General features: G+C 53.7%; 1 protein-coding gene across 6 annotated transcripts in view; it reads left to right on the top strand.

The window, feature by feature from the left end:
• Positions 1-12254, top strand: part of ABCC8 (ATP binding cassette subfamily C member 8) — an 84348-nt gene extending 72094 nt beyond the window's left edge. For 3 of the 6 annotated variants that reach the window (NM_001351297.2, NM_001351296.2, NM_001351295.2), the window contains exons 28-39: positions 83-240; positions 1999-2091; positions 6311-6413; positions 6955-7068; positions 7439-7559; positions 7706-7836; positions 8822-8900; positions 9034-9142; positions 9477-9580; positions 10353-10486; positions 10993-11055; positions 11624-12254. In NM_001351297.2, the coding sequence (NP_001338226.1) occupies positions 83-240; positions 1999-2091; positions 6311-6413; positions 6955-7068; positions 7439-7559; positions 7706-7836; positions 8822-8900; positions 9034-9142; positions 9477-9580; positions 10353-10486; positions 10993-11055; positions 11624-11761 (1347 nt within the window). In that variant the 3' untranslated portion in view covers positions 11762-12254. Of the gene's footprint in view, positions 1-82; positions 241-1998; positions 2092-6310; positions 6414-6954; positions 7069-7438; positions 7837-8821; positions 8901-9033; positions 9143-9476; positions 9581-10352; positions 10487-10992; positions 11056-11623 lie in introns of all 6 variants that reach the window. The other 3 variants (NM_000352.6, NM_001287174.3, NR_147094.2) reach the window with 2 other exon arrangements.

Below are 12849 nucleotides of genomic sequence, written 5' to 3'. Positions count from 1 at the left end.
GAGCAAAACATGGCGGCCAGTAGCACTCTAAACACAGTCAATACCAAAATTCACCTCACTCTCTCCCCCTCGTCTCCCTCAGCACATCCCATCCACGCTGGAGTGCCTGAGCCGCTCCACCCTGCTCTGTGTCTCAGCCCTGGCCGTCATCTCCTATGTCACACCTGTGTTCCTCGTGGCCCTCTTGCCCCTGGCCATCGTGTGCTACTTCATCCAGAAGTACTTCCGGGTGGCGTCCAGGTGATGGCCTCAGGGGTGAGGGGTGGGAGGTGCTTTGCAATGTGCAGTTTGGTGTACTTGCTAGACTCATCGTTATGAGAGTAATAGGGTCGTGTTCCCTCCAAAAAATAAAAACAAAAAACAGAAATGAAGGAAATAGAAATATCCACATCTTATTCCACCGCCCTAATATAATAGTCTGCCAACACACGCACACACTGAGGTTGACATCTGAATTATTTCCTTGGGCGATATGGTCAGGACTGGAATTGCTAGGTCATGATAAATGCACATTTTATGCCCTTCATTCATTTTGCCAACATGCTTCCCAGGAGGGTTGCATCATTCTAGTGGTCAGGCTGATTGCTGATGCATGAAATCGGCGGGCACCTGATTCAAGCAGTGTTATGATAACACCTCCCAGCCCACGTGAGTCCAGAGTGTAGCTGTAAGCCTTGACTTGAGGGAGCCTCTCACAGCCATTCTCATGGATCACATTTGCCCTCATGAGCTTTGGATCCATGCACGCCTCTTTCCTCCTCAAAATTTTCTAAGAATGTTCTCTAGGGAGTTCTTTCTGGGAGTGATTCTCCCAGATTCATAGAAACTCATAGATTCAAAAAATTGTAGGAAAAAATTTAAAGAACGTCTAGGCCAGTGTTTCTCAAACTGCCAATTACAGCCCATCAGTGGGTCATGAAATCAATATCATGGATCACAACCAGCATTTTTTTAAAAATGAAAAAAACATCAGACTGTATTCATAGAGTAAAGCAAGCTTTGCTTCATGAAACCTTTGTGTTGGTCATGGAGGTGTGTGAGTACTGATTTGTGAGATAAAATATATTTCTGACTGCAGGTTGTGGTCAGAAAGGTTAAGTACCTTTCCCAAGTGCACATAGTTGGCTAGAAACTAGAGTTGAGATACTTATTAGCAATAATAAAATTTAGATGCATTTTGGACACAATTACCTGCCCCAAAGGATCAACATTTGTATAAATGGCTTTTTGCTTGGATGATCCAGAATGGCCCGACACCCACACGAACAACATAGCTTTTTGACACTCAAAAAATTCAAAGTGCTGCACAAGCTGTTCTACAAAGTTCATTTCTTCTGCCAGAGAAACAGCCCAGTCTCTGTGGCACCCAGTCTGACCCTGGAGATGGTTTATCAGGGAAATCAACTTCCTGCATCCCAAACTGGCCTCCCTGGCACTGATGTGCTTGTCGAGGTGCAGCTTTGGGGAGCAGGAGGCAATTCTGTTGCCATGGAAACCTCTGGCCTTACCCCGAGACGAAACCTATCATTTCAGCACATCACTGGCCAGGGTCTAAAGAGCTCCTTGATGGGGTAAGCGGAAGACGGGGTTGAACGCTTTGAGTTTGGTCTTCTGTTCCTTTGGCCAGCTGTCTCAAGGTTCAGATTGTTCACCTGTAAAATGGAACTAGCACTGCCTGCCCAGCCTTAGCTCAGCTCCAGGCTGTGCAGCAGAAGTACAGGGACAGATGGCGACCTGGGGTTGACAATGCCCAGGACAGCAGTAATTGTGCCCCACATCAGGCTGTGTCTAAGCATTGTACATAAACGATCTCATTCAGTGCTCACAAAAGCTCAATGGGCTGGTGGCATTGTCTTCCCCCTTCACGGGGTAAGAAGCTGAGGCCTAGAGAGGTAAGGCCATTCACCCACACAGCGGTAGCAGGTGGAGCTAGGCTTCAGGCCCAGGCCGAGCCCTGAGCCTGCCCTCTTAACTGTTCCACTCTGTTCCCCGCCACAGGGACCTGCAGCAGCTGGATGACACCACCCAGCTTCCACTTCTCTCACACTTTGCCGAAACCGTAGAAGGACTCACCACCATCCGGGCCTTCAGGTACGAGTCCACATTCCCCCAAGGTAGGAGTGGAACAGGGGTGGGGCCAGGGGGCACAGGCCATGAGATTTGATTCTCAGGACTCCACTTGGGAAGGCCAAGGACACGTTCTCTCTCAAGCTGCCTCAGGTCCCAAGGCCCAAGGGATATCCACCAGCAGGGACAGGCCAGGTGGGCTCCCACTGAATGTTCTAGAGAGGAAAATTCCAGCTCTGTAGACAAGCCCAGGACCTCTGTGAGGCAGAGCATGAAAAGAGACAAAGCTGGGACAAGTCTTCATGTATCAACGCTAGAAAGGGCCTTAGGTGCGGGCCACCCTAAGCCCTTCTTTTATTAAGGAGCCCCTGTGTGCCAAACACTATGCTGAGTACTGTACAGGCCAATCCCACTCATTCTGCACTGCAACCCTCGGTGCTGAGAATGGTCATTTCCATTGCACAGACAAGGAAACTGAGGCACAGAGACGTTCTATAACCTCTCTGTGTAAGGTGCCACAAAGCCCAGACTTGAACCTATTTGTTCATGCAACAAACATTTACTAAGCCCCGACTATGTGCTAAGCCCCATGCCAGGCACTAAAAAGATGAGTCAAATAAGCCGCTGCCCTGCAGGCGTTTACAGCCCAGACTTTGAGCAGGCCAGGATAAATCCACGTGACAAGTATTCTGAAAAAAGCGGATTCAAGGGCTGTGGGAGCATAGAAGAGAGACAGTCCGGGAAGGTTTTTGTACCAGAGGTGTCATCAGAACTAGGACTCAAAGGAGGGGCAGGAGTTCACCAGGCTGAGGAATTCCTGAAAACTTCAGTGCCCCTGCCATCGTCTCACTACCCTGAGTGGTGATGTTGGGGTGGACAGGAGCATCTGAGGTTGCCTGGGGAATGAGGGAAGCTGTTGTTTCCCACTCCCCAAGAGTCTGTCTGATCTCCAGAGGCATCTCTCTTCCAGTCAGGCAGGCCAGAGACCCCTGACACACAAAGTTGGGCTCTTTTCTCATCTTCATCCAGAGAGTGATAATAGGTTATTTTTAGGGTGGCACAGCTGCACGAAGTATGACAGTAACCATGAGACACCAAGCACTGTGTCCAGGAGTAACCATAGGGCACAAGGACCAGCCAAGGGCCAGAGAGGCTTACATCTCCTCCCCCCAACCCCTGAAGTCCAGCTTCAGCCCTGGAGAGGTATCCAGGCCCCTCTGCCCACCCTGGAGCACCTAGGGCCAGTGGAAATCCACCTCTTAGGGATCTTGTCTAAGTAAAGAAGAGCAGAGCAAAGCTCTGCCCTGGCCTTGGCGCTGCTCCCTGGACATCCCTTGCCCCTGGACAAGCCTATGCTGTGTCTTCCACAAAGAAGCTTGCTGGGGACTGGATTATGACTCTAGAGTCTCCTCCCAGCCTCCTCTTCTCAAGCCTGAACTTCTCCCGTTCCTTCAACTTCCAGGTCCCTCGACATTACTGAGCCTAGCCTTTGCTCTAAGTTTTGGTGATTTCCCTCTCTCAATTGGTGTCTCAGAGGGCCCTGGGGTAGAGAGATGGTGACTCTTCTAGAGTGGGCCACAGCCCCTTGTGTGCAGATCCCAGCTTCCTGTAAACAGCCTCAGATCAGGCCAAACCTGTGGTCAGCCAGAGCCACTGCTACCCAGTGAGGTCTTCCACACCCTACTGACACGGTGAATGATTTTTAAATTTGAATGAAAGGCTTTTTAATCAACCCCATACACATTTAATGCATTGGCTTTAATCCAGCAGCCTGTTGAGAGCTATTAGCACTTATTGATTGCCCACTTACTGTATGCCAGGCACCGTGCTAAGTGTTGTATGTGCATTATTACATTTAATCCTCACAAGGACCACATAACATAGGTACGAATCGCCACATTCTCCAGATGCAGAAGCGAGACCCAGAGAGGCTGGGTAATCAATCCAAGGTCACACAGACTGCGGGGGCTGGCGCTGAGCTTGGAACCCAGGTTTGCCTGACCTTCTGGGCTTTCCTAAGAGATCTTATTTTTTCCCAAAAGAGTTTCAAGAGTGCCCAGCACTGGGCTCAGTGGCGGGCTCGGAGGTTGTTTTCGTTCATGTAGGAACTATCACTTCCCCATTTTTTTCATAAGAAAACTGAGTCTCAGTCCTGATACACAGCCAGGAAGTTGTGATGTTCAGGCTCCAACCTGGGTTTACATGGCTCCGAGGCTGGGGCTCTTTTCTAGTCCTCAGACACACTGTCGCACGCCTGTGGCAGAAGCTCCCATCTCACACTTGCCGACCCTCAACTCACACAGTCCTGAGACCCACATACGCTGAGCGCCTCACACTCCTATAACACGCACATGCCCTGATGCACACACATTTTCAACACGCACTTACTCTACCCTTCAGGCATGGTTTCACACTCACTGCAGACACGTCACCCTCCCACACGTCTCCACCCTGGGGGTGTGCAGTAGCATGCTCTCTCCCACCTCAGAACCTCCCTTCAGTCCCCTCAGACACATGCCCTCTCTCCACGCAGAGACAATCAAAGCTGAACTAACACCTTCCAGGGTGAAAAGCAAATGCCCAGTAAGGTACGTCTTGGGTGCCTCCGTGTCCCCTGAGTTTGGTCCTATCAAACCAGCGATGATGAGGCAGCTTTTCTTTCGTTCCTTCCTCCATCATCAAACAAGTGCTCCTGCATCTCCTCTGGGCCGGGCCTACGTCAGCAAGGTCTGAGGGAAGCGGCCAAGGAGAGTGATGACGGCAGCCCAGGTTGATCAGAGAAAGGAGGCAGGTCCATGCGCAGTAACTCAGGGAAAACATGATGAGGACCTAAGGATGAGAAAGAAGCCTCCAGAGTTCCCTGTGCAGAGAGATTCCATCAATTTCAGAGGGTCAGGGGAGTGCCATGCATTCATCCAACAAATATTTATTGATAGTGCCAGGTGCTGGGGTATATTGGTGAATAAAACATCTTCATGGAATTTGCAGTCTATTGAGGGAGATGATTATAAATAGCTAGAGAAATGCATGTACAGCAGATACTGTGGAGCAAACAGGTTGCAGACAATAATAGGGGAAACCTACTTTATAGTAAGGTAGTAGCCAGGAAGAGCCTCTCTGAGGAGGCAGCATTTAAGGCAAGCCCTGAAGGTTGAGTTGAGCCAGCCTTATGAAGAGCAAGGGCAAAAGCCTTCCAGGAAAAGGGAATAGTGTGTGCAAAGGCCCTGGGGTAGGGAAGACTTTAGTATTGTCACAGAGCTTTTAAAAAGCTGAGTGGCTGCAGCATAGTGTGTGGGGTGTTTGTGGCAGGAATTAGGTTGGCAGGAGGGGGTTCTTCATCCTATAAGCAGTGGAAGGTCATTAATATTCTTTTTTATTTGTTTTTTTTTTTTTTTTTTTTTTTTTTTTTGAGGCAGAGTCTCACTTTGTCACCCAGGCTGGAGTGCAGTGAGGTGATCTTGGCTCACTGCAACCTCCACCTCCCGGGTTCAAGCAATTATCCTGGCTTCCTCAGCCTCCCAAGTAGCTGGGATTACAGGTGTGCACCACCATGCCCAGCTACTAATTTTTGTATTATTAGTAGAGACAGAATTCCACCATGTTGGCCAGGCTGGTCTTGAACTCTTGACCTCAGGTGATCCGCCCGCCTCAGCCTCCCAAAGTGCTGGGATTACAGGGGTGAGTCACCGCATCCGGCCGGAGATCATTAATATTCTAAACAGTGGGGGAGAGGACACAGTTTGCGATTTAGATAGATTAAGCCAGCCACTGTGTGGAGCATGGACTGTAGGGAGACAGCAGGTAGACGTATTCAGGAAGCTGATGCAGTAGTCCAGGTGAGAGTTTGTGGTGGGCAGGAAGCAGGATAGAGGGGGAGGGAGGCAAGGACTCTTTTAGAGAGAGACATAAGAGGACTTGCCAAGGGGCTGAATGTGAATCCAGGTGATTCCTGGGTGAGAAACTGGGTAAAGGGAGGTGCCCCTTATTATAATGGGAAAGACCTAGAGAAAATGGATCTTGGGGTGAAAACAAGAGTTTGGAGGAGGTGGGGATTCTGGACAGGTTTGAATAAGCAGAAAGGAGTGGGGTGGACATTCCAGAGAGGGATAGCTTACATGAAGTGGCCACGGTGGCATGTCTGGGGACTGGAGGGGCCCTGGAGCCTCCCTCTGCAGGTAGGGAGACTCCTAGGAGCTATGTGGACCAACACTGTTCCCTTAGGAGCTTCTCATCCTCCCTCCAGGTATGAGGCCCGGTTCCAGCAGAAGCTTCTCGAATACACAGACTCCAACAACATTGCTTCCCTCTTCCTCACAGCTGCCAACAGATGGCTGGAAGTCCGAATGGCAAGTGCTATTCCCCTCTACCCTGGCCTCTGATAGGAGGGTGGGGCCAGAGCAAGAGCACACAGGTACCTGGGGATGAAAGAGAGGATAGGATACCAGATCGTGTGGACACCAAGCCTTCCTGCTTCCCCCAGCCCTGGTGGTCCTCCTAGTGTCTAGCCTGTGCTCCTTTTCCCCATATCACTGCCTGGAGGCTTGTGTATCTGAGGTGTGTGCCAGTGGCAAGAACAGTTGTGGTGAATGTGTATCTGCAGTGGGTCATATGACACCCACATTGTGTGTGTTTGTGGGCCAGCTGAGGCGTGCATGTTAAAGGGTGTGCAGGGGCTAGGGGGTAGGGGAGCATGAGCTTGTGGGACATGTTGGCTCCTGGGGCTCCAGCCTTCGCAGCCCTTGTGTGTGTCTGGTGACGTGTGCATGAGTTGCAGGGCTGGAGTGGAGGCCTGGCTGAGCTGCTCTCTGCCCCGAAAAGGAGTGAGGTAGAACAGGGGCCTGTGGCTCTAACCCCTGAGCGCCCAGGTCAGCTCCTCTCCCTCCCCAGGAGTACATCGGTGCATGTGTGGTGCTCATCGCAGCGGTGACCTCCATCTCCAACTCCCTGCACAGGGAGCTCTCTGCTGGCCTGGTGGGCCTGGGCCTTACCTACGCCCTAATGGTGAGCGGCAGTGGGCTAGGGCAGAGGAGGGGTCAGACACCAGCACTCCCGGAGCACCTTCGTCACTGGAGACATGAGACACTCCCAGGCCTTACCCCAATTTCATTTGCATCTGATGCCAGAGGGACAGTGCGGGCAGGAAGGCTGACCAGCAGGCCCCAGGGCCCAGGCCCCAGACAGGTGGAGGTTGGGGAGCCACATGACTGACCCTCCCTGTGCCTCCAGGGAGGGCTGCTCTGAGCAGGCAGTGGATGGCAGCAAAAGGAATCTGGGGCCCTGGCCCCTCTCCAGCCTTAAGAAGAGCCATTCTGGTGGCTGAGGACAGAACTAAGCGACCATGGAGTGTGCGCCACTGGCTTGCTCCCCACAGGTCTCCAACTACCTCAACTGGATGGTGAGGAACCTGGCAGACATGGAGCTCCAGCTGGGGGCTGTGAAGCGCATCCATGGGCTCCTGAAAACCGAGGCAGAGAGCTACGAGGGGCTCCTGGGTGAGAGGCTCAGGGAGAGGGGTGGGGAAGAGTCCAAGGAGGAGTGTGTCTGGGTTGGGGGCCACAAGGGAGCCTGGGGATGGGGTGGCACTTTCGGATACTAGCTGTGGCCCATGCCTGGTGGCTGAGCCCAGCCCGGCCCCCAGCACCATCGCTGATCCCAAAGAACTGGCCAGACCAAGGGAAGATCCAGATCCAGAACCTGAGCGTGCGCTACGACAGCTCCCTGAAGCCGGTGCTGAAGCACGTCAATGCCCTCATCGCCCCTGGACAGAAGGTCAGAGCACGGGCCCAACCCAATGCTGCAGGACAGGCGTGAGCAGGGGATGGGGCATGCACGGAGCTGGATGGCTTCGCAGTCACCTCGTGGCCCTCCAGGGCCGAGGCCTCTCACTATTCAGACATCGCAGTCTCCTGCCCTGGGCCTGTGGGGGCCCATCTTTCCTCTCCTTCTATTGCCTTCCCCCAGTGCTGCCCTCAGGCCTTGTCTTCTCACTCATCCACCAAGGAGACCGACACTCTGGACTCCCCCAGCTCACACGGGCTTTGTCAGGGCCTCCCTCTCTGCGAATGGTCAGGGGCTTTCCCTAGGGCACTGCCCCGAGCTTCAGGGCAGGGACCTGGGGGCAGACAGCGAGGCCACCCTTGTATTGAGGGTGAGCCCCTGCCTATGGCCCTGGCCCAGCTCTCCTCTCGTTTCCCACTCTGTCTCTTTGTCTCTGTCTCACTTTGCTGTGGCTGTCCATGTCATTCTCTGACCTTGGGATGTACCTCTGTCCCTGCCTCTCTCATCCTTCTATGTCACTATCTGTCTCCGTATTGTAATTTCTGTTGGTACCCAAGTGCCAGGAAGCAACGGGATCAGAGGTGGCTCCATTGTAGGGCGGGGCACACAGACACATCCATGCATACCACTCTCAGCTGCCCCTGTGTCCTCCTGCCACACCCATGCCCATAGAGACACACCACTGCCCCCCAGCTCTCCTTCAGCCAAGTACCCGGCACACCCAGACCCACACCAAGGCCCAGGCAAATGGACATCCATGCCTGCACTTGCGTGCCGGTCCCTGTGTAAGCCCTCTCTGGACCCACTGCAGGAAACAAGCCCAAACCTGTGGTGTCCAAAGAGAAACTAGTCAGAAAACCAGGCCAAAAAGATACCCTGTGACCTCCCACACCTGCACACACACCCAGAGCTAGCATAGAGGCTATTCCCAGCAGCCCCAGAGTCCCAGTGGCGGTGCCTGCTTCTCTCTTTCCAGATCGGGATCTGCGGCCGCACCGGCAGTGGGAAGTCCTCCTTCTCTCTTGCCTTCTTCCGCATGGTGGACACGTTCGAAGGTGAGTTGTAAGGCGGGCACCCCACGTGTACCCACAGCCACCAGATGAGGCCTCAGCCCTGGCACGTGGTCAGACATGACAGGAGGCCCAGCAGTCACCGCCTTCCCCTGCACCCTCACTGGGACCCATGCAGGGCACATCATCATTGATGGCATTGACATCGCCAAACTGCCGCTGCACACCCTGCGCTCACGCCTCTCCATCATCCTGCAGGACCCCGTCCTCTTCAGCGGCACCATCCGGTGAGCCCCACCACCCCTCAGGCCCACCCAGCCCCAGGCCGGCTCAGTTCCATCAGATCTGGAGCACAAAGAGGAGGGGGTTGGGGGAGACCAGGATCCCAGAGGTGTTTCCTGCTCATGCCCTTCTCCATCCCATCAGGCCCAGGCAGCCTCTGGAAGGGGATCCCCCACCCATGGGTCTAAGATGCTGTCCCCCACCCACTGCCACCACCTCGGTGCTTCTCCCAGCCAGACCTCCAACTCAGTCTGCTCTCGCTCACTGCCCTCTTTGCCGCCTGGGGATGCAGGCAGGACCCTGCTCCCTCCCTACTGGGGCTTTCTGTGCCACTTCCAGATTTAACCTGGACCCTGAGAGGAAGTGCTCAGATAGCACACTGTGGGAGGCCCTGGAAATCGCCCAGCTGAAGCTGGTGGTGAAGGCACTGCCAGGAGGCCTCGGTAACTACTCCTGGCTATGCAGCTGGGTTGGTTGGGCACTCAAGGACCCTGTAAGGATGGCAGACAGAAGCCCGTGTCTCAGGTTTGCCCCAAGTTTGGAGTCTGAAGCCTGGCAGGACCATTTAGTCCTACTTCTCACTATACGGGGGCCCAGAGAGGTCAGGTGTCTTGCCCCAGGTCACACAACTGGTCAGTTCAGGGTCTGGCTCCTCCTGCAGGGTACAGCGGGTACAGTCAGGGATCCTTGTGAGACAGAGATTGCGAGTCCCCCATGCCAAGGGGGCATCTTCAGCCCTGCCCTGCCCCATCCACCTGCATGCCCAGTTCTGCCTTAGGGGAGGAGAAGATGGACTGGGCAATCATAGACACGGGTCACTCATCAAGGCCACCGGTGATTGGCAAAGCCTTGGTATATTTGCTGCAGCTCCTGGAGCATTGGGGGTGGCCAAGCCTTGGTTTCAATGAATCACCCTACCAAGGCCCTACATACACACTCAGTGCACCCCTCAGTGCACACGCCCCCTCCCAGAACTGCCCAGGGCCACAGCAGCACACACCTCCAGGGGTGCCCTTCTCGTTGCAGTCCTTGCAGACGGCCTCCACATTGTTGTGTCAGGTGCACCAGCCCTGCACACGCCTGTGCTCTTGGACACACACCCACCTATTTGCCCCCATGCACACATTTTCCAACAGCCCCCCAAGCCATCCCATCTGCTCCACTCACAGCACAAGATTAACTCAGTCCTACTTCATCTCCCCGGGCTGTTTTCAGATGCCATCATCACAGAAGGCGGGGAGAATTTCAGCCAGGGACAGAGGCAGCTGTTCTGCCTGGCCCGGGCCTTCGTGAGGAAGACCAGCATCTTCATCATGGACGAGGCCACGGCTTCCATTGACATGGCCACGGTTGGTCCTGGGCCCCTCCATGGGACCATGGTCTTGGAAAGGGTTTAGTGGGATGCTAGGGAGAAATTTGCACGAAGTAGTCCTGAGGCTCAAGTTGCCTCTAACATCAAATGCTATGTGTTGCAGAAAATGAAAAGAGCTGGGGGGACCCTGACTCTGTCTAGTCTTAGGGAATGTTACACACACACACGCACACACAAAAACACTATGCAAACACACACATAAGCTGCACACACAGACCCACACAGACTTCACACTGTCACCTATCACAACAGCACACACACAGCCACAACCACAACCTACATACACACACAGAGCTGAGCTCCCAACAGGCTGAGTCCAGTCCCTGAGTGCCGGGAACCTGTTCAGTCCTGTGGGGTGGGGGTGGGACTAGGATCGGGGTCAGATGGGAGCTGAGCCACAGACCTGGGCTCCACATCCCCCAAGCCAGGCCAGACCCCATCCACTGGGCAGGTGAGCCAACAGCTGTTGCCCCCACTTGGCAGGAAAACATCCTCCAAAAGGTGGTGATGACAGCCTTCGCAGACCGCACTGTGGTCACCATCGCGGTAAGGGGCCCATTGATGGGGTGCAGAGGGACACCCAGGGACAGGACTGGCCTGTTGTGGCCGTCATCAGTGCACAGCCCCTGGGCTTGCCTGGTCCCAGTAATCAAGAAAGAACCCTGAAGCAGGCAGTTCAGGGCAAGGGGCCTGGAGGGCATGCAGGGAGCCTGGGTTGCAGGATTTGGGGTGGGGGGTTTTGCCCCTGTGCTTCCCTCAGACCTCCCCTCTCCTTCTCCAGGTTCCAAGGCCTGCCCCTGTCCCAAGGCCTTATATGTTAGGCTGGCGTTACTTCTCCATAGGAAGTGGGGGAGGGGTTGTGGAGGGTCTCTGAGCCTTGAAGCCTGGAGGTGGGGTAGAGTTGGGACTTGGAGAGGAGAGAAGGGTGGTATTAGCAGATGGAGAGCTTGTAGTCACATCCACCCCAGGAAAGTGCAGTCCCCACAGTGACAGGACATTCTGGCCACATGCCTCATCCTCCTCCTCCAAGCCGCAGGAGGGCCACCCTCAGCTGTGGCCCCCACCGCGGGTGGTATTCCCACCATCCTGACCCGCCCCCTCCTGCCCTGCCCAGCATCGAGTGCACACCATCCTGAGTGCAGACCTGGTGATCGTCCTGAAGCGGGGTGCCATCCTTGAGTTCGATAAGCCAGAGAAGCTGCTCAGCCGGAAGGACAGCGTCTTCGCCTCCTTCGTCCGTGCAGACAAGTGACCTGCCAGAGCCCAAGTGCCATCCCACATTCGGACCCTGCCCATACCCCTGCCTGGGTTTTCTAACTGTAAATCACTTGTAAATAAATAGATTTGATTATTTCCTACTAGAGGCCCTAAGTCTGGTGGGCAGGGGCTGGCGGTGGATGGTGGGTTCAGTAGAACCAGCCTGGCTCTGACATCAGGCAGAAGCTGTGTGAGCAAAAGCCTGCTTCCTTACCTGTGAAATGAGGCCTCTATTAGTCAGCCAGGCTGCCACAACAACATATCACAGACTGGGTGGCTTTAAAACAGACTTTTTTCTCACAGTTCTGGAGGCTGAAGTCTGGGATCAAGGTGTTGGCAGGTTTGGTTTCTCCTGAGGCCTCTCTCCTTGGCTTGCAGAGGGCTGCCTTCTGGCTGTGTGCTCACATGACCTTTACTCTGTGCACATGCATCCCTGCTTTCTCTCTGTGTCTTAAAAGGACACCAGTCATATTGGATTAGGGCCCCACCCCTATTACCTCATTAAACCTTAATTATCTCCTCACAGGCCCTGTTTCCAAATACAGTTACATTGTAGGATTAGGCTTCAACCTGTGAATTTGGCAGGACACAATTATGTCCATAGCAAGGGTGATAGCATTTCTGCAATGAGCTTATCAGATAAGGTAACAGATCTCCATACAGCTTGGTCTCCTTTCTTCTCACTTTCATTCTTGAATTAAAATCTGGATTAACACTATTTCAATTGCAAATGACAGGAACCCAATTCAAAGTAACCTAAGCAGAAACTGAATTTATTGAATATGTGACTGACAAGGCTAAGAGGTATACTACTTCAAGCATGGCTGGACCCAGGTGTTTGACATCCATCTGGGATGTGTCTTCCTTTCTGGGTTCCATTTTCCTCCCCTTTCATTATGACAGATGGCCACTAGCAGGTCCAGCTTACATCCTGCCCCAAGGCAACCCAAGAGGCAAAACAGATACTCCTTCCCAATAGTTCCAGCAAAAGCTTGGGAGCAAATCTCAATGCACCAACTTGGATCACATTCCCATCCCCACCCCACTGTGATCAGAGGGGTGGCATACACTGGCTGGCTAGGC

This window comes from Homo sapiens, chromosome 11 (assembly GCF_000001405.40).
Source record: "Homo sapiens chromosome 11, GRCh38.p14 Primary Assembly".
Classification (NCBI taxonomy): domain Eukaryota; kingdom Metazoa; phylum Chordata; class Mammalia; order Primates; family Hominidae; genus Homo; species Homo sapiens.
This window is presented reverse-complemented; position numbering and strand designations above follow the sequence as displayed.